Source organism: Homo sapiens, chromosome 4, assembly GCF_000001405.40.
Source record: "Homo sapiens chromosome 4, GRCh38.p14 Primary Assembly".
Classification (NCBI taxonomy): Eukaryota; Metazoa; Chordata; class Mammalia; order Primates; family Hominidae; genus Homo; species Homo sapiens.
In genome coordinates this window covers 71,628,292-71,649,227 of record NC_000004.12, presented here as the reverse complement: position 1 = coordinate 71,649,227, position 20,936 = coordinate 71,628,292, and the positions used below count along the sequence as shown (strand labels likewise).

General features: G+C 38.3%; 1 long non-coding RNA gene across 2 annotated transcripts in view; it reads right to left on the bottom strand.

Moving 5' to 3' along the window:
* LOC105377271 (uncharacterized) overlaps positions 1-20,936 on the bottom strand; it is a 40,126-nt gene that overhangs the window by 5,402 nt on the left and 13,788 nt on the right. For both annotated transcript variants that reach the window (XR_001741717.1, XR_938866.2), the window contains one exon: positions 13,627-13,737. This is a non-coding gene — a long non-coding RNA (uncharacterized LOC105377271). The remainder of the gene's footprint in view (positions 1-13,626; positions 13,738-20,936) is intronic.

The window sequence follows — 20,936 nt, the reverse complement described above, 5'->3', positions numbered from 1 at the left end:
TGAATTCATAATTGGCCATTCAAACTTATTAATTGCCCCATATTAAGCTCACAATATGTTACCACCTGGTTGCCATGCTGCTAAAACAAACCAGCTGTAACACATTCTTTCCACCTGAGGGATTGATTGAATGCCACAGTCAACAGAAGACTGTATCTCTCCCAAGTTCGCATGCAGATTTCTTGTAACAAATAATTTTTAACAAAAAGATGTTCCTTTTTTCCAGCTTCCTAATGACTGAGAAGTTTAAAGATATCCTTAAATTTAAGCAAAAGGAAAAGGAGGTAGATTTAGTATGAGAGGACTTATTGACCTTTTAGGGGTAATGGTAAAATATAAATCCCAGAAGATCTTCAAGAAAAGTAAAAACACTGAGTGATTTAGTCCGGACTTTATTCATTCATCAAGTATTTATGAAATGCCTATTTTATATGTAACAGGTACTTTCGCTGAATGTGGGTGATATAGCAATGAATAAGACAAGCAAAGTGAATTCTATGAACACCACAGTAGTAATTATGTAATAACCAGTTTTTCTGGTTTCTAGAGTTCGCTGGTTTCCGTACTTTAAATACTCCCACTGTGGCCAATTTCAAGTCACTGACATGGCATCACTGGGAAGCTGGGAAATGATGCAACACAGTTGGCCTTCATGAGCTGGTAGGAACCAACTTCAGCACTCCTCTGGAACACTGGTACAGTGAGGCTTTCAGAAAAAGAGGGTGGTTGAATTATGTAGAAATATAAGTTTTGAGAAACGCTATATCCCTTTATTGTATACTGCATCATTCTCTTAGAGGTTTTTTAAACACTTTAGTTCAACAAGGAGTCATATGGCTAAAAACCTAAAATTATTTACCTAGTGTTTCTCCAGGAGATTTGGCCACAGACCAGCTTGCCAGCCTGCATAATCCTTAAACTCGTAATCAGCTCCTGGAGAGTTGGAAAGTTGGTGCGTCTGACTGTGAAGAACTTAAATGGAATGATCTCAGAATTTGTATGACTGGAAAACCAGGTATACCTTATCTATTTCTAAGACATTTAGGAAATGGCCAGATTTTATTTTGTTTTGTGAACTACATAAATCCTTTATTTTGTTTTTCTGAATTCTTCCTTGTTCATCCAGGTAAGGCTGATTGATGGGGGCGGGGAGTAAAACTGTCAGAAGTTGGAACCAGAGTAACTCCATCTTATAGGGGCGGGTAAAATAAGGCTGAGACCTACTGGGCTGGGTTTCCAGCAGGTTAATGCATTCTTAGTCACAGGATGATACAAGAGGTTGGCACAAGATACAGATCATAAAGACCTTGCTGATAAAACAGGTTGTAGTAAAGAAGCTGGCTACAACTCACCAAAACCAAGATGGTGAAGAGAGTGACCTCTCGTTATCCTCACAGCTACACTCCCACCAGCACCATGACAGTTTACAAATGCCATGGCAACATCAGGAAGTTACCCTATATGGTCTAAAAAGGGGAGGCATGAATAATCCACCCCTTGTTTAGCATATAATCAAGAAATAACTATAAAAATGGACAACCAGCAGCTCTTGGGGCTGTTCTACGGAGAGCCATTCTTTTATTCCTTTACTTTCCTAGTAAACTCACTTTCACTTTAAGGACTTGCCCTGAATTCTTTCTTGCATGAGATCCAAGAACCCTCTCTTGGGGCCTGGATTGGGACCCCTTTCCAATAACAAAACTAAACCAGCTATTTTATATAATAACAACTTGACCAAAACAACAACTTAGAAAGGCTTTGGAAATGTTGGTTTAAATTATGATTGGATCAATAATCTAGCCTTTTTTTTCAGACCAGCACAGACAACTGAGAAATTGTGATAAATGACTTACACCTTTATAACAGACAAAATTGTGAAGATACTTGAAAATTAATTTTCTTACTTGATAGTTAGATTCAAAACAATGAACTAAATTAGAAAATATCCAGTAATGATTTCAATTGCAGGTTTAGAATGTATGTGATTCAGAAAAACCATGATCTAACAAATAATGAAGTTTTCTCTTGAGGTTTTAGGAAAAGTCCAAAGTGGTGGAACTATATTATACATGTTATATATAATATATATTATGTTTTTATTTGTTATATAAAAATATTTATATATTATAAATAACATCTATTATAAATAACATTTATTATATATAAATATTCATATATAAACTATGTAAACTACAAATAAAATGCTAAGCCCCCAACTGACTGAACGGATCCCCTTTTGGACAAGGGGAACCCAGAGAAATCTGAAAAACTGAATTCCCAGTCATAAAGGAACAGGAGGTCAGATACACCTTTTATGTTCCCTCCCTTTTGGAGTTTAGGCAAAACTGGCCAGCATTAACATTAAAATGCAGATTATAAGACTGACAAAAAAGACTCCTTGTGGCAATAAGATACTGAATTCCAGCCTGACTCTGCTATAGCATCACATGACAGATAGTAAACTCTGAAAGAAATAAAAATATTTTACCCCAAAATATATTTATTGGACATGTTTTGAAATGGCCCTGCAAAGCCATCTTTGCATGGGGAGATTTGCATCTGTAGAGAATCTCCATTAAAGCAGCCAGGCCTCCCTTTCTGGCCTTTTCCCAGATCTAGGAAAGATAAAATGAGGGTGTGACACATTTAAGGTTTGAAAAGAGACATTTATCATCTATTCTCTCTGACGGCTATTACCTATGAGGCTTCATCTACATAAGAGCTTTGGCATCCGCAATGCCTCTTAACTCAAGCATTTCTTCCTGCCGACTTAAAGTCTTCAGACAAAGTTTTACTTTTACAACCAATTGCCAATCAGAAAAACCTTTGAATCCACCTATGACCTGTAACCACCCTCACTTCCCTGCTTCAAGATAATTCACCTCATAAGGTTGAACCAATGTAAACCTTCCATGTATTGATTTATGTCTTTGCCTGTACTCACGCATACTTTCTCAGGACCTTTTGAGACTGTTCCTGGGCCATGGTCACTCATACTGGCTCAGAGTAAATCTCTCTAAATATTTTACGGTTTTATTTTTGTATTAACAAATATGTGTGTTTGAGTTTTTGTCTGTCTGTCTGTGTGTATCCCTGAGTTTTGCTTTGGAATCAAGACTCTAAAAGGTATATATTGTGAACCCCCCAAATTTGAGATGTGTCTCAGTTAATTTAGAAAGTTTATTTTACCAAGGTTGAGGTAGTGGGGGCACGGCTTAGTTTTATACATTTTAGTGAGACATGATGTAGCAGGATGAGCCACAGACAAAACCCTTCAGACACCGAGTTAAAGAAGGAAGGGCTTTATTCAGCCGGGAGCATTGGCAATACTCATGTCTCAAAAACCAAGCTCCCCGAGTGAGCCATTCCTGTCCCTCTTAAGGGCTTACAACTCTAAGGGGGTCCACATTAGAGGATTGTGATCAATTGAGCAAGCAGTGACTGGGGGCTGAATGCACCAGTAATTAGAATGGAACAGAACAGGACAGCGATTTTCACAATGCTTTTCCATACAATGTGTGTAATCTATAGATAACATAACTGATTAGGTCAGGGGTCGATCTTTAACTGCCAGGCCCATGGTGCAGCGCTGGGCTGTCTGCCTGTGGATTTCATTTCTGCCTTTTAGTTTTTACTTCTTCTTTCTTTGGAGGCAGAAATTGGGCATAAGTCAACATGAGGGGTGGTCTCCTCCCTTATTCCCCCTCTTTGAGAACTTCATTCATTAGTGGGAGTCCTCACTTTCATTCTCACTACCCATGTCTTCTTGGAAGACAGATTGATAGTGATTCATATAGTACACTTGTGCTAAAGCATTATGGTGAACAAGGTAGCGATGAAGCTTTTTATCATTTGAAGAAGTAGAGGTGGCAAACAAGTGAGCAGTAAGCAGGTTCCTATTACTACTATGACTCCTATTATAAGAGTTTTAAATCCTCCTAGTGCTGGAAATCATTTTCCAAACATGGACCCAGGACCAAATCCATGCCACACTTGCACAGCCACAAGTGCCAGTTTTGTCATATATCTAACTATGTCTTCAACTACTTGCCCTTGATCAACTATGTGTAGACAGCAATCAGTAAGGTTAAATTTCATACAGACCCCTCCTTCAGCTGCCAGCAAGTAGTCGAGAGCCAATCTATTTTGATAGATAGCATTTCTCATCTGAGTTTCTTGCTGGGCCAGAATAGTCAAGGCTCTGCTGGTCTTATTAGTGACTATTTCTAAGACAACTTTTAACTGTATGATTCAGTTGAGCATGTAAATGGGGGTCTGGTATCCCCACGAGCCATCCTGTGCCCAAGTACCAGGCCCATAATGTTGTATGATTCTCTCAGGGGCCATTCATCATCTTTCCAATTGCCTATAGCTATGTTTCTCTTTTCGCAGGAAGCATAGACAGGGAAGCCCAGGAGTTCACCTGTCTTTATGGGCAGTAGGAAGAAAGATGGTTGAATAGTGCCAATAACACAACTACCTGCCCACTGGCCGGGTTATTTGGTGTAAGCTCTATGCCCACATATCCAGTATAATCCAGTGGGGGCTGTCTAGTCCCGGTGGGACTCTGGGTGGGTCCACACGGTTTGCAACTTCACGAATTTACTAAATGGATTTTTCTTAGTGTGGTATGAACTCCACTAGGTGGCTGCTTTTGTAGTAGTATTATACAGTTTTTGCCCAAGGCAGCTGAGTCTCCCCACAGGAAGGGTGAAATTCTTCCCCACTCTTGCTATACAGTATTGTCTAATGATTGAGGCTTTTAGGACCCAGAAGTTATCAGGGTGATTCTTTTGAACTGGGAATTCATCAGGAAATGGGTCTGTAGGTACTAATTCTCGGGCTTCCCATGGCCATTGATCTCCCATTACAGTTCCTCCACATACATAACATGAAGTGACATTGAGAGACTGGGCTACACGCTTGGCTAATTGCAAAAACAAATTTCTTGTTTTTCCTGGAATTTCTGTTACTGGCACATTCAGTTCATCATAGAAGGTTTGAAATACTGGCTCAGGAGAGCGTTTATAAACTTCTCCTCAAACCACGATATTCGCTCAAGGATCCAGTCCAGACCCATCAATTCCTAGGGTTACATTCTCCCCTTTTTTCCAGCGAGGATCAAGGGGGTTGGTTATTACTAGTTCTAAGGGGTTACACTGACCAATGGTACAGGAAGGGCCACTTTTCCCTTTCTGAAGGTGGACAGTATCCTTTTCATTTTTTCTCCAAGTAGCCTAAATGACACAAGACCAGTATCCACATTCATTTCCACACAGTCCTAATTCATGAGAAATGTACTTATTTTCTGCCATATAGCCTCTTTCCTAATTAAGAGAACCACATCCTATTCCTAACTTATTACTATTAATGACAGCACAGGCATCACACTTCAAGGTGACTTGTTTGGGCACCCGTTTTTCTTTTGTTTTGTCTAACACTTTACTTGTATCATTTATGAGCCACCACCAGTCCTTAGTCCTTAACCTTATTTCAAAAACTGTGGTCATTGGAGGCTCAGATGGGTCATAACACACAACAGGTTGGTCATTTCCTGGGCTACATACCTTGCATAGAATAGCATTATACAAACAAGTTCTTTTTAGATTCCCAGTACACTTACAATAATCATAAAATAATAGGACTGTAGCAACTTTTTGTCCTACCTTAGTGACTTGATGTATACACTGGGAACAGTCCTCAGTCTGAGGAAGGTCAGTTGAAGTCCTTACTGTACAAGTCCAAATTTTAAGGAAAATGAGTCCCGCGATGAGTTTTCCCATGTTTCGGCCATGCATGGACCAGTCAGCTTCCAGATGTGACTGGAGCAGGGCTAGTCATCTTCTTCAGAGTCCCTTTGCAGGGGTTGGCAAAGATGCTTCTGCCCACATACAGCTCACAGGCTACTGATGTTCAAGGATGGTATCGGAGGTTGGGCCCACTAGAATAAACTGAGTCCAATACCTCTATACAGTTATGTTCAACTGGGTTCTCTGATATGAGGAGCTAGGTGGTGGGGTTTAGGGTGTTGCAAACTTCAGTGGTTATGCGTGGATTTTCACATAGCAAGCTTTGGTACTTGGTTAATCTAGCATTTGTCAGCCAATGATGTCCTTTGGTATTCGTCAAAGTTACCATAGCATGGGAGGCCTTTATATTCAGATTTTGCCCAAGGGTTAGTTTATCTGCTTCTTGTGCTAACAGGGCTGTTGCTGCCAGGGCCCTTAGACATAGGGGCCAGGCTTTGGAAACCCCATCTAGTTGTTTGGAGAGATAGGCCACTGGCCTTGGCCAGGGCCCCACAGTCTGGGTTAAAACTCCAACTGCCATTTTTTCTCTTTCTGACACCTAGAGTGTAAAGGGTTTTGTCAGGTCAGGTAGCCCCAGGGCTGGGGCCATGAGTTTTTAACTCATGAAAAGCTTATTGCTATTGGTTGTAATAGATGTAGTTTATCCAAATTATATTTTTATTAAGTGTCACCCACCAAAATATTGACTCAAATCCTGCAGCTATTTGATTTCAAGCTTTAAATTGATCTTGTATTCCCCATGGGACTCCAGTTGTGTCTAAATAGACGTGAGAGTTGAAAGACCCATAAGAGGCTTCTCTTGCTTTATGATGTCTTATTTTTCCTCCCTCTGGTTGATGAAATGCCAGGGTAAAAGGGATAGCCAACTGGACTAAAGTACAAATGCCACTTAAGTTATTCAGCAGAGTGCCCAGTAAAGGTCCACCACAATACCACCACACATCCACTAGAGGATGAACAAGGGCTGACTGATTGATAAACTCTTGAAAATTCTTAAGCTTACTGCATCCCTTCAGGTCTCCAAGGAATGCTAAGTTTTCTCCCTGTCATGAGAGACACAAAGTGAACTTAGTGTTGGGAGACGGAGGCTGGATGGCCCTCAGGGCCTGACCCACAGGGTGCCGGACTTTGGGATATAGCAGAGGGAGCTTGGCATGACTTATTACTCCAGGCTGTAGAATCCTGGAAAGCAGCTACCATGTAGCCCATGTCTGGTCAACTGGAAGACCACCTTAGTGGAAAGGGGACAATCTGGGCCTCTGGCCTGCCATGTGCACAAGCATAACAATTGCTTTTGTTTAACGTGTGGATGGAATATTTGATCCATTCCAACCAGGCATTTGTATCTTGGTATCCTGTCTTAACTGCCAAAGTTTAAGTCTTTAACTACTATGATCCTCCAGTAAAATGAATGTATGATTTTAGGAAATTACAAAAACTGGCTGGGGCAGTCCATCCTTGCTCTTTAGTGGTCCACAGAATGTTGGACCAACTACAGCATGAAAGCTCTACATTGGGGAGCAAGACTCCTTGTTGACACTGGAGTCTTTATCAAAATTTCCCAGGATTAAATGGTTCTAATATACTAATGCCCAGTCTGAGGAGAGTCAAGAGGGAAAGAGGTACTTTTCTGAAGTAGAGAGCTGTCTTTGACTTGGCAAGTCCCCACAGGGTATAAAATATTAAATGCAATATTTTGAGGCAAAATTGACTTGGTTATATTAATAACTAGATGGTCAGCAATAGAGTGAGGAAAGAAGAAAGAGTAATAGAATAGATGAAAGAATCAAATTTTTCTTAGCTTTAGTTTGGTAGGGTTTTCCCCTGGGACTACGGCCCATAACTCTGGAGGGGTTGGTGTTTTCTTGACTCAGTGGTGATGAGTTCATCCTTTTTTTTTTTGCTGTATGAACAGCAGTCTTGGTGGTTAGCAGCACCAGGTAGGGTCCTTCCTAGGCTGGTTCAGATTTCCTTTCTTTTCACCCTTTGATGAGAATGTGATCTTCAGACTGGTGCTGGTTTACCAGAAATTCTAGAGGTGGTACATGTGCTAAAAGACTTTTAGTTTTGAGGGAAAGGAAAGTGGAAGATAAACCAAATATATAATTTCTAAGAAGTTGACCTTTTGTTTTAAATGTGGGTACATCAGCAGTGGACTTTGTAGTCCTTGGTGCCTTTCTACTGAGAAATTTCCTTTAGCATCTATTTTTTATTAGTTTTTAGACCAAAGAAGCCAAACACCATATTGTATTTGACAATGCTTCCTGTATGAATACCAGATAAGCTAAATTTCACCTTTATATTAGTGTGCTATTAATGTTAAACTTAGTTTTAATAAAACTTTGTAGACATATTTATTCAATTTTTAATGTCAGACCATAAGGTAAGATTTTTATAGACTCTTTTTAACCTTTTATAACCTTTGTTAAAAAGCAGGTTAGTGCTTTAAGAAAAACCCATTGTGTTTTTACTTTAATGTCCAGTTCACAGAAAAACTGGATGATACCCCTTTAACTTCAGCTAATATGTTTACACACAGAATTTTCTTTACAATTAATGTTTTAAAACTTGCTTAAACCTTCAAAACAATAATTTTTTTTACCTTTTAATGTAGGTAAAAATTTACATTCTTATGCCTCCTTTTACCAAAGGTATATTTTACTTTCCTTATACACCTTGCCCATAAACTATTTTTTCAATAGTTTTACATTCAGGAAGCCTAGTTACTTTTAAACTATACAACATTTCTTGCATAAATTCTTTTTTTATAACTTTTTTTTCTCTTTCATGACTTTTGCAGAAAATTCTTTGACATGCCTCAACTTTCTGACTTATTACAAACATTTCTTTCTTTAAACAACCAGTTAATTTATATCAGCACAAGAATCTACCACATCACATGCTTTTTACATAAATTCTGCCCCCCATTTTTTCCCTGTTTTTTGAAGATGATAACCATTCTTTTCCAAAGCGAACTTCTTTTATGTCTGTGGACTAGACTGTCCAAGGCCACAAGATTAGAAGTTACTATAATATATGTTACACTGTTAAGTTTTAGCAAACTTTACTTTTGTTGAAAACCTTGGAAGTTTGGGATTTCAATTATCCTTTGCTGTTAATAAGACCTTGTTTAGTCCAAATTAGCTTAGAATTGGTATAGATGGGTTTTTTTTCTTTTTTTCCTTCAAATACCTGGGAGGAACATCCTCCTAGGTCTGGTCAGACCTTTGTATGGTAATTAAGATTTACATCCCCTGTTAGGAAACCTGCTGGGTTAAGGGAATAGTGGTTAATGTTAAATCATCTTTTTTTTTTTTTTCTTTAGGATAATTCTGAACTAGTGAGGTGTGCTCACAATGAGGTTTCCTCTAAAAGTTATTTTTTTTACTTTCTTGTGTTAGCAAAGCAGTTGTCGCTACAGATTGAATGCATCTGGGCCAACTGCAGGTTACTGAGTTAAGGATTTTTTATAGGAAGGCTACGGGTTATCAGTGGTCTCAGTGCTTTCAGGATACGCCCTTGTTTACACTGACAACAAAGTGGTATTGGAGTGTTATAGGGTTATGGAGAATAACTTCAATTATCAATTATAGGTTTTAAATTTACCCTGGCTTTTAAAGGAATAGGGTACAATTTTTTTTTTAAACTACTTGTATATCTCTCTCCTTCTCTCTTCTTGACTCCCTCTTTGTCTCTCTGTCTCTTCCTCTCTGTCTCTTACTCTGTCTCTTTACCTCTTTTCCTCTCTGTGTCTTTTTTTTCTCTCTCTCTATTGGTCTTTCCTTGCCTCTGTCAGCCACTTATGCTGCTGTTCTCTCAACCACTGTAGGGGGGCGTCTAAAACCAGCTGTAACCAAGCGTCTATGTAGGGGAACTGGTCTGGGTGCCCTGGCTTACAGGTTACCTTGTGCCATACCTCTGAAACAAGGGACCTGTCCAGGCTTCCTTCTGATGGCCAACCCATCTCTAATGCTGGCCAGTCTACTTCACACAAAGTTCTAAGTTTTCCTGCTGTCATAGTAACACTGTAATCTCCCTTAAATCCATTCTTGAAATTTTTCCACATAGCTCCTAGTGGGGTGGGCTTACTTTGTGCCTGACCCATGCTTCCTCGAGACAAAACACCAAGCTCACACCACATGCACACCACAAAACAAAGAACAGGTGAAAAGGGCACACACACACTTTTACAGTTAACACCAAACCAGAATCAAAACCAAAATCAGAGTATCAAGAAACCCAAGCCAGGTCAAGACCAAAACCAAAGTATCAAGCAATCCAAGTCAAATCAAAAACAAAAACCAAAGTGCCGGTACAGGCATGCCATGGGTGACCAGTCCACGCTTCCACTCAAATGGAGTGGGCAAGTTCCAAAGACTAATCTTACCAAGTTTCAGATGTCCGGACTCCAAGTGCCAGTTCCTTCCCGGTGTTCAACCACTGTATTAATCCTCTGTGGGGGCCTGCCACATGCTGCTCTGGCGAGGCATTCCACTGGGGCAATTGCCTACCCAGGAGTGCTCTCAGGATCCATGTCACTCAAGCTAGCTGGCATCTCCTGCAGGGATGCTCCACAGGGCAGGCCTAAGCCACCTAAGGGGCTGCCTCGACTGTCCATTAATCACCTCGCTTCCCAGTCAGGGAATCAGGAAATATAGCAGGATGAGCTGCAGACAAAACCCCTCAGACACCGAGTTAAAGAAGGAAGGGCTTTCTTCAGCCGGGAACATCAGGAAGATTCACATCTCAAAAACTGAGCTCCCCAAGTGAGCAATTCCTGTCCCTCTGAAGGGCTTACAACTCTAAGGGGGTCCGCGTGAGAGGGTCATGATCGATTGAGCAAGCAGGGAGTATGTGACTGGGGGCTGCATGCACTGGTAATTAGAACAGAACAAAACAGAACAGGACAGGGATTTTCACAGTGCTTTTCCACACAATGTCTGTAATCTATAGATAACATAACTGATTAGGTCAGGGGTCAATCTTTAACTACCAGGTCCAGGGCATGGCACTGGGCTGTCTGCCTATGGATTTCATTTCTGCCTTTTAGTTTTTATTTCTTCTTTCTTTGGAGGCAGAAATTGGGCATAAGATAATATGAGGGGTGGTCTCCTCCCTTAATGAGACATGAATTGATAGATGGAAGAAGTACATTGGTTTGGTCTGGAAAAATTGGACAACTTGAAACAAAGTCAGGAAGACCTGAAGTGGGAAGGGTGCTTCCAGGTCACAGATAGGTGAGAGACAAAGAGTTGCATTCTTTAGAGTTTCTGATCAGCCTTTCCAAAGGAGGCAATCAGATATGCATCTATCTCAGTGAGCCTCTGCTCACTGAATTTGAATAGAATGGGAGGCAGATTTGCCCTGAGCAGTTCCCAGCTTGAAGAAGTCCAAGATATTTCCTTTCACTTTTCCCCCCTTTTCTTTTTTAAAATATTTTGGAGAAAGCATTTTAGAAGAAAATGAGTCTCTGGTCCCAGGATTCATCTGATCACTCATGGCTAGGACTGTTTATTCCTAGATGTGTAGGTCTAGAATGCTCATTTTTATAGGGTTGTGGAGTCTCATGTCCTCTTAAGAGAAAATGTCCTCTTAGGAGAAAAGGAGAAAAACAACAGCACACAAAAGACCAATCCTGGAAAATCAATGCAGGCCACATTACTCTGAAGTCTATGCATCAGAAGGCAGTTATGAAAGTGGTTTATGGCTGGGCATGGTGGCTCACGCCTGTAATCCCAGCCCTTTGGGAGGCCGAGGTGGGTGGATCACAAGGTCAGGAGATTGAGACCATCCTGGCTAACATGGTGAAACCCCGTCTCTACTAAAAAAAATACAAAAAATCAGCTGGACGTGGTAGCAGGTGCCTGTAGTCCCAGCTACTCAGGAGGCTGAGGCAGGAGAATAGCATGAACCCAGGAGGTGCAGCTTGCAGTGAGCTGAGATTGTGACACTGCACTCCAGCCTGGGGGACAGAGTGAGACTCCGTCTCAAAAAAAAAAAAAGTGGCTTATGTACGTAAATAGGTTACTGTTATTTTGTTCTGAAGTTTAAGTTGTCTAGTTTCAGTTTGCAGGGCTTTAAGAAAGCACTTCTTAGTTTTCAGTGACTCCCAATTAGGAAAAATGGAAAAAAGGAAAAAAAGTGAAAACATATTTTGAAGACTTGTAGCCAAGAAAAAATTACAATTTAGCCCAAATTGTAGAAAATAGTAAAAATTGAAAAACATTAGGCAAGATGAGAATCTAACAATAGGTGTACTATAATTTTGGAAACATAATTTTTATCTCTCCAGTTTCCTATTTTTGCTAAAGACAAATCATGGTAGAATTGTCTTGCTTTATTCCACTTGGCCTAATTGTTTGTATACAGTGCAGCAAGAGTAATTATTTTTTACATAGGCTTTTAAATTGGCTTTGCTGGGACTTTGTTTCATAGAAGGAATCTTGGGTAACACTTTTTTAAAGCTGAGCCAAGCCATGGATGTGTGCCATCAAATACCTGTGAGTTGGGTGATTCTCTCGAGGTTCCAAGATAAACTTGGGGACCTAGACCTGTCAGAAAGTGACATTCTTTACTTACCACAGGTCAGGAACCCTGTACTGGGGTGAATGGACAAAGATATAAGGCCAGTTTCCCCAAGGGGATTTATTGGCTCTGTAAGTCAAGTTTGATTCCTTAAAGGAAAGCACACCATTCCAGTCCAAGACTTGGTAAAATAACCAGGTCCTCCAATTGCATCCTATTACAAATGAAAACAGATTTCTATTACACTTATGCAAATAATTGTATTACCATAACACAAAAATTAGCCGGGCATAGCGGCACATGACTGTAATCCTAGCACTTTTGGAGGCTGAGGCAGGCAGATCACCTGAGGTCAGGGGTTTGAAACCAGCCTGGCCAACATGGCAAAACCCCATCTCTACTAAAAACACAAAAATTAGCCAGGCATGGTGGCACATGCATGTAATCCCAGGTACTGGGGAGGCTGAGGCAGGAGAATCGCTTGAATCAAGGAGGCGAAGGTTGCGATGAGCCAAGATCTCACCACTGAACTCCAGCCTGGGTTGACAGAGTAAGACTCCATCTGAAAAAAAAAAAAACTCTGAAAAACAAAACAAAAGGATCAGCAAACATTTTAAACAAAAAGTCAAAAAGATTAGCTTAGTCCATGCAGTTAATTCCTGTTCTGCTTGACACTCATGAATATTTTAGCTCTCCCTGAGTTCTGAAAGTTTTTCCTCTATTCTTATGTCACAGGATATCTATAATTTATCTACATACACATAAAAATATTTCTAGACATTTTATGAAAAGGGTTTTTTTCGTATATTTGGTCTCTTTAGAAAATTGACAGAAATATTATTTATAGAAATTGTAATTATTAAACCTTGCACTCCAGAAAGAGTTTTCAAGAACAACCTGCATAAATGCCAAAACTTGATGCTAAACTAAATATTTTAATTTAATTCACTAAGTTTCCACTAAAAACATGCTTCAAGAGAGGCCTTGTGCTTGCCAAGTGAGAAAAGAATCTTACATGTCCAGGGTTCAAGTCTGTCAGAGGCTTAAATATTTGAAAATTTTCTGCTGTTAATTTTCCAAAGAAGCGTAGACTGTGAAGTAAATATTTGCCATGTAAAATTGAAGATAAAGTTAATAATCTAAAAATAATTCTGGTTGAATTAGACAAAATTCATGCAAATTTGGCTTACTCGACACTGATGAGTTTAAATGGGAGGGTTAAGTTATTGACTCCACTCATACAATTTCTATTAGCTTATGGAACAAAATCACTGCCTAGAATAGAACTTACCAAATGTTGTTGTAAACTGCTGACCTCATGCATCTTGATGATGATAGTTATTCTGCTAAAGTCTTTTGAAGCAATTGATTGTGGCCTTCTGAAGCTCTATTTAAAGGGATTCTGTTGTAAAACAGATGAATTTGCATGAAATATTGCTCCTATGCTTTCTGACCTTTTGTTTTTTCTCATGAAAGTGAAATTTGTTATCTGTATCCTCTCTGGTTGCTAGGATAAAATGTCTCCTTAAGGTTGCCAAGACTAGTAGCAACAACAGCTGGTGAATCTAATTTGCATTTAAATAGACAATTCACAATAATGTCCTTCAAGTCCCAGGATGCTCTGAATATATGCTCTATGTACATATGCAGTAGTAGCTGCAAGAGGGATATACAGGCAACAATACAATCTAAAATCTGCATATTAAGGATCAGTCACATTATAAAGGGCTGCTGATGCACTCATCACCCTCTGGAAAAAATTATTATCCCAAATCTAATGTCTGATCTTCATGTCAGGCCATCTCCTAATATTTCAAGCTGCTCAAGGATTAATTTTAGCAAGCCTAGAATGGGCCTGTGTTATATTACTGAATAAAAGATCTACCAAAAATCTGTGATCTCTGGTCAAGTCATGAAATAATTATTATAATTAATAAGGTTGTTTTGTAACCGAGAGTCCAAGGAGTTTCAGGGAAGTTTGTACCAGCTTGTTAGCATTGTTTATTGATAACAGTGAGACTGATGATTTGTGCCTGTTAGATATAAGTTCTAAATTTCTCTTCAAAGAATCAATATATCAGTATGTTCAGTTATTTGCCCTCTGCTTTTAAACTCATCTTCCTTGTAAAGCAACCTTTTTCAATTACCTACTCCACCCTGGCTCATTCAGATTACCTGCTACCTGCTCCGCCCTGACTCATTCTCCACCCTGCATAACCATCTTTTTTTCCCGCCAAAGCACTCACCCGGTCACTCTCTTTAAATTAGCCAAACAGAATTAGTTTATCCTGTGCAGTCTAACCCTAGCCAATAGGGGAAGGACACAGAAGCAGGGGCCACGTGCGTCAGGGATAAGAACCGTTTCCCCTCCGTTGTCCAAGTGTACACTCACCACTGCTCCATCTGTAAGAGTGCACCCTTTTATAGAAGTAACTTGCCTTGCTCAGAATTAAAAGAAAATTTCATAATCAAGTTCCGTTTCTTTTGCGGCACCTAAACTTTATATATAACATACCCAATCTTGGTAAGATCCCAGAAGGTCTCTGCTATTGGTTTTGGTTTTGGTTTCACACCAAGAATATTGCTTTGGGCTGTGATGTATATTCTTACTTTAATGCTGTTGCTATATTGTATCCTTTTCTTGTAAAACTAGATTTGAAAATACTTCCACTTTGGGTACTGAGAATGCTCTTTAGCAATTAAACCCTTTTTGATTGCCATTGTTCATGCAAAAGCTATACAAACTCCCCTTTTAATAATCACCTTTAAAAATAATCACCTTTTTATGATTATAAATTATTATGTGCTTATCAAAAAGCTTGGAGACTACACAAAATTTCTAAGGAACTAAATTAATAAATTTAGTTAAATTAAATAATTTAAATATTATTAAATAAATTAAAGTTACTAACAATCTTAAAATCAAGAAATAATCATTCTTAATTTTTCCCATAGACTGCCTCTCTGTTTTCTTGAGATCATGTGTCATAAGTGTTTTGTAATTTGCTTTTCCTCTGGTGACCTTAATAACATTAGCATTACTCTTAGTAAATATCATTTTCTTGACTATATACTGTTTCATCAATGGATATCCCATTATTACAGAAAAGATTTGTATTGTTGAAAATTCCATTTATTTTTATTTTTCTTCTTTAAAAATAAGCAGTTATGAAACTGTGTTTTGCATAAGGCTGTTTATCATATTTCATCCATATCCTTAGGATAGATTTCTAAAATGAAATTGACCATGCCATAGAATACAAACATTTTTAAGGCTAAAGATATAATTTTACTAATTAATTTCTAAAAGGTAATATATATATTTATACTCACAAAAACTATAGGAATACTTTAATAGAGCAGTCATGTCTTTTAGAAACATTTATCTCTTGTCTGTCATAGTTATTGAGATAATTTTTGTTTGACTTTTAATTTATGTATTTGGCTTATAGACAATTTATGTCTTAATACAATTAAATCTATTATCTTTTCCCTTCTGACCTCTTATATTACTTTTAAGTCTGGAAACTCTTTCCTTATGCAAACATTTGACAGTATATTCATTTTTATTTTCTTATAGGCTCTTTATAAACTGATTTTTTTACATTTAACTCTTTAAGCACTTTAGATGAAGTTCCCCAAATTATAACTTCATTTCTTCTAGTACTATTTATTGAAAATCTTTACTATATGTTAATATATGGTTCATGTATATTATGGAAAAATAAATCTTCCCTGGATTTCTAGGTTTTCCTGCAAAATGTCGGCCTCCTGAGCCGTACATTGTGAATTAGAAAATATTTGGTTTTACTTTCTCCAGAAAAAAATTCCTTTTCATATGCCCAAATATTACATCTTCAGCCATTTGCCTCCTTAATTGTGGAACTAATTGCTTCCATTCAAAAGATAACAAACCTCTTATCCCCTAGGAGCCAAATGGTTGCATTCCAGAATGGGAACCTGAGTTAAAGGAAAGGGTGATTGAATAATGCTTAGACTCCTGGAAGGGTTTAGAGTGTTATCTTTCCTTGTATTTATATTTCAAAAGAGACAATTCTGGGTTGCAAACTTGGAGAACTAGACTTATCTTGCCCCTGAAGATATTCATTTGCACTACAAACTTAAGAACCCAGGATTTTTCTTCTCCTATCTCCTAACAGAAAGAGGGACAGATCTTCTCCTCTTCTAGATAAAAGGAGAAATGTAAAGCTCTGGGTCCCTAGCCTACAGTGCAATCCCACAGCATATTTTAGTATTTATCCATACACCTCTCATCATCTCTAAGGGCTGTTTTAGCTTTGAGTAAAAAAAAACCTCTGATCTCTGATTGTCTGCAGGTGTTTCTGTTAAGTATTCTACTATCCATCTTCCTATCTAAATTATCTACATATCTAAATATATAATCGTGCTGATAGAGAAACAGTCCCATCACAGTTTCTAACTTCACATACATTAAATTTTTATTCTCCTGGAGCTCCTTCTGGACTATTTTCTTTGTCACTATCACTTTAATGATTATGTAAGACTTATAATTTTTTTTAGATATTTAATACATTTTATATAACATATTTTTTCTAACTTTTAAAGCAATTCTTCCCCATTTACTTTTCCATATGAATTACAGAATCCCTTCATCAAAACCTAAAAAGAAGTGACATTTTTATTAAACCTATCAACAAATTGGTAAATAGTTCACATCTCTATAATATTTGGTTTTCACATGGAGAAACATATTTCTTCATTTATTTAAATATTTTTCTCACTTTTGTAGTTTTCTGTATAAAATGCAATTTCTATTTGATATTATTAAGAGTTAATTATTTCTGTTGCTGTTGCTCTGTATATAATCTTGGTTTTCATTATGCTTTCTACCATTATTGATGTGACTATAAAACAGTCTTTCAGTTGTTATTCTTTTTGAATTCTCCTTAATTTTTTTGAGACAGGGCCTTGCTCTGTCACCCAAGCTGGAATGCAGGCTGGAGTGAAGTCATAGCTTACTGAAGCCTGGACCTCCCCAGCTCAAGCAATTCTCCCACTTTAGCCTCCCAGAGTAGCTGGGACTACAGGCGTGCACCACCATGCCTGGCTAATTTTTGTATTTTTTTGTAGAGACAGAGTTTGCTGTGTTGACCAGGCTGATCTTGAACTCCTTGGCTCAAGTGATCCTCCCTCCTCAGCCTCTCAAAATGCTGGGATCACAGGCATGAGCCACCGTGCCTGGCTGAGAACTTCTAAAATACTTTTAATGGTAAAACATATTTGTTGAGCCCTGGAACAAAAGATTTTTCATGCAGACCTATCCAGCATATTCATCATGAGTACTTGCCATTCTTAGGCACTGGAAACAACAAGTTTTGTAAGATAATGTAATCACGGTTTTAAAAGGACCAGGACTTTGTAGATTCTGGATACTAGTCATTCTCCTTAAAGGAAAACTCTGAAATTCATTCTATATCCCTCTGTGAAAAACTGAAACTGACTTTGTAAATTATGAGAGTAAGAAAAAACTGCTGTAGTTGACTCCATCTTGCTTCTAATTTCCAAGCTGTATTTGGTCACTCCTGAGCATAGGCCACACTCTCTTTGGGAGGAATTTAGTTTATAGTTTAAATTTAAAGCAAGGATGATGATAGCCCTTCCCAAAGCTAAACCACCTTTGTAAAACTAATGAAAGCCCACAAGGTTAAGATTATGAGAGGGGCCTGAATTCTACTAAGATATAGGCATAGTTGAATGATAACCAACGTTCCAGAGGTCACAAGATTTGTAACTTCTGCAATTACTCCTGTAGATAACATGACTATTGTAGAACTTAAGATTGGCCTTTTGAGATGTTTTTCAGACTTCTGCATTTCTGGCAACTGACTGACTCTACCGGGACCTGAGACTCGTGACTCAGCCAGTCCTGTAGCCTGCCCCTGGGCTGACTCAGTGCACAAGGGCTACTTTCCACACCTCTATGATTTCATTCCCAACAAATCAATATTCCCAATTTCCTACCTGCCTGCCAACAAAACTATCCTTGAAAATCCCTAGCCTCCAAGCCTTCAGGGATACTGATTTGAGTGATAACTTTAGTTCTCCCATGTCACCAGTCTCCTGTTAATTAAGCTCTTTCTTTACTGCAATAGTGTGGTCTCAGTGGATTGGTTTTGTCTGTACAGTGGGCCAAAAGACCTCTTCAGGTGACTACAATGCTTTAGTCACAGAAAAAACAGGCAGCAAAATAATCAAGAAATTGGCAGATAAAATGTTTCTTGATTCTAAGCTCTAAAAAATATATTGCTTAACACATTTACTGAATTCAAAACAATTAAATTTTTTTAATTTATTGCCTTAGTAAATATTTAAAATTTAAAACTATATAGTTTTAAAAAGAGAGACAAACATTAACTTTTATTTATTTATTTTTAATTTCAATAGGTTTTGGGGGAGCAGATGGTGTTTGGTTACATGAATAAGTTCTTTAGTGGTGATTTCTGAGATTTTACTACACCCAACACCTGAGCAGTGTACACTGTAGCCAATGTGTAGTCTTCTATCCCTTCCCACCCACAACGTTTTCCCCTGAGTCCCCAAAGTTCAGTGTATCATTCTTATGCCTTTGCATCCTCATAACTTAGCTCCCACGTATGAGTGTGAACATATGATGTTTGGTTTTCCATTCCTGAGTTGCTTCACTTAGAATAATAGTCTCCAATTCCATCCAGTTTGCTGCAAATGCCATTATTTTGTTCCTTTTTATGGCTTAGCAGTATCCCATGGTATATATATAACAGATTTTCTTTATCCACTCATTGATTTATGGGCATTTGGGCTGGTTCCATATTTTTGCAACTGCAAATTGTGCTGCTCTAAACATGCATATGCAAGTAGCTTTTTCATATAATGACTTCTTTTCCTCTGGTTAGATACCTAGTAGTGGGATTGCTGGATCAAATGGTAGATCAACTTTTAGTTCTTTAAGGAAACTCCACACTGTTTTCCATAGTGGTTGTACTAGTTTATATTCCCATCAACAGTTTAAAAGTGTTCCCTTTTCACTGCCTCCATGCCAATATCTCTTTTTTTTTTTTTAATTTTTTGATCATGGCTATTCTTGCAGGAGTGAGGTGGTATCATACTGTTGTTTTGAATTGCATTTCCCTGATCATTAGTGATGTTGAGCATTTTTCCATATGCTTGTTGGCCATTTGTGTATCTTCTTTTGATAATTGTCCATTCTTGTCCTTAGCCCACTTTTTGGTGATATTGTTTGTTTTTTCTTGCTGATTTGTTTGAGTTCTTTGTAGATTCTGGATACTAGTCCTTCGCTGGATATATAGATTGTGAAGACCTTCTTCCATTCTGTGGGTTGTCTGTTAACTCTGTTGATTATTCCTTTTGCTGTGCAGAAGCTTTTTAATTTAATTAAGTCACACCTATTATCTTTGTTTTTATTGCATTTGTTTTTGGGTTCTTGGTCATGAACTCTTTGCCTAAGCCAACATCTAGAAGGGCTTTTCCACTGTTATCTTCTAGAATCTTCATGGTTTCAGGTCTTAGATTAAAGTCTTTGATCCATCTTGAGTTGATTTTTGTATGAAGTGAGAGATGAGGATCCGGTTTTATTCTTCTACATGTGGCTTGCCAAATATCCCAGCACCATTTGTTGAATAGAGTGTCCTTTCCCCACTTTATGTTTTTGTTTGCTTTGTCAAAGATCAGTTGGCTGTAAGTATTTGGCTTCATTTCTGGGTTCTCTATTCTGTTCCACTGGTCTATGTCCCTATTTTCATACCAGTACCATGCTGTTTTGGTGACTATGACCTTATAGTATAAGTTTGAAGTCAGGTAATATTATGCTTCCAGATTTGTTCTTTTTGCTTTGTCTTGCTTTGGCTATGCAGGCTCTTTTTTGGTTCCATATGAATTTTAGGACTGTTTTCTCTAGTTTTGTGAAGAATCATGGTGGTATTTTGTTGCTCTGATTGCTCTGGGTAGCACTTCTAGCACCATGTTGAAGAGAAATGGTGAGAGTGGGCGTCCTTGTCTTGTTCCAGTTCTTAGGGGCAATGCTTTCAACTTTTCCCCATTCAGTATGATGTTGGAATTGCATTGAATTTGTAGATTGTTTTTGGCAGTATGTTCATTTTCACAATATAGATTCTACCCATCCATGAGCATGGGATGTGTTTCCATTTGTTTGTGTCATTTATGATTTCTTTCAGCAGTGTTTTGTAGTTTTCCTTGTAGAGGTCTTTCACATCCTTGGTTATGTATGTTCCTAAGTTTTTGGGGTTTTTTTTTCAGCTATTGTGAAAAAGGCTGAGTTTTTTATTTGATTCTCAGCTTAGTCACTGTTGGTGTTTAGCAGGGCTACTGATTTGTGTACACTAACTTTGTAGCCTGAAACTTTGCTGAATCCATTTACCAGTTCTAGGAGATTTTTAGATGAGTCTTTAGGGTTTTCTAGGTAAAAGATCATGTCATCAACAAACAGTGACAGTTTGACTTCCTCTTTACTGATTTAGCTGCCCTTTATTTCTTTCTCTTCTCTGATTGCTCTGGCTAGCACTTCTAGCACAATGTTGACAAGGAGTGTTGAGAGTGGGCATC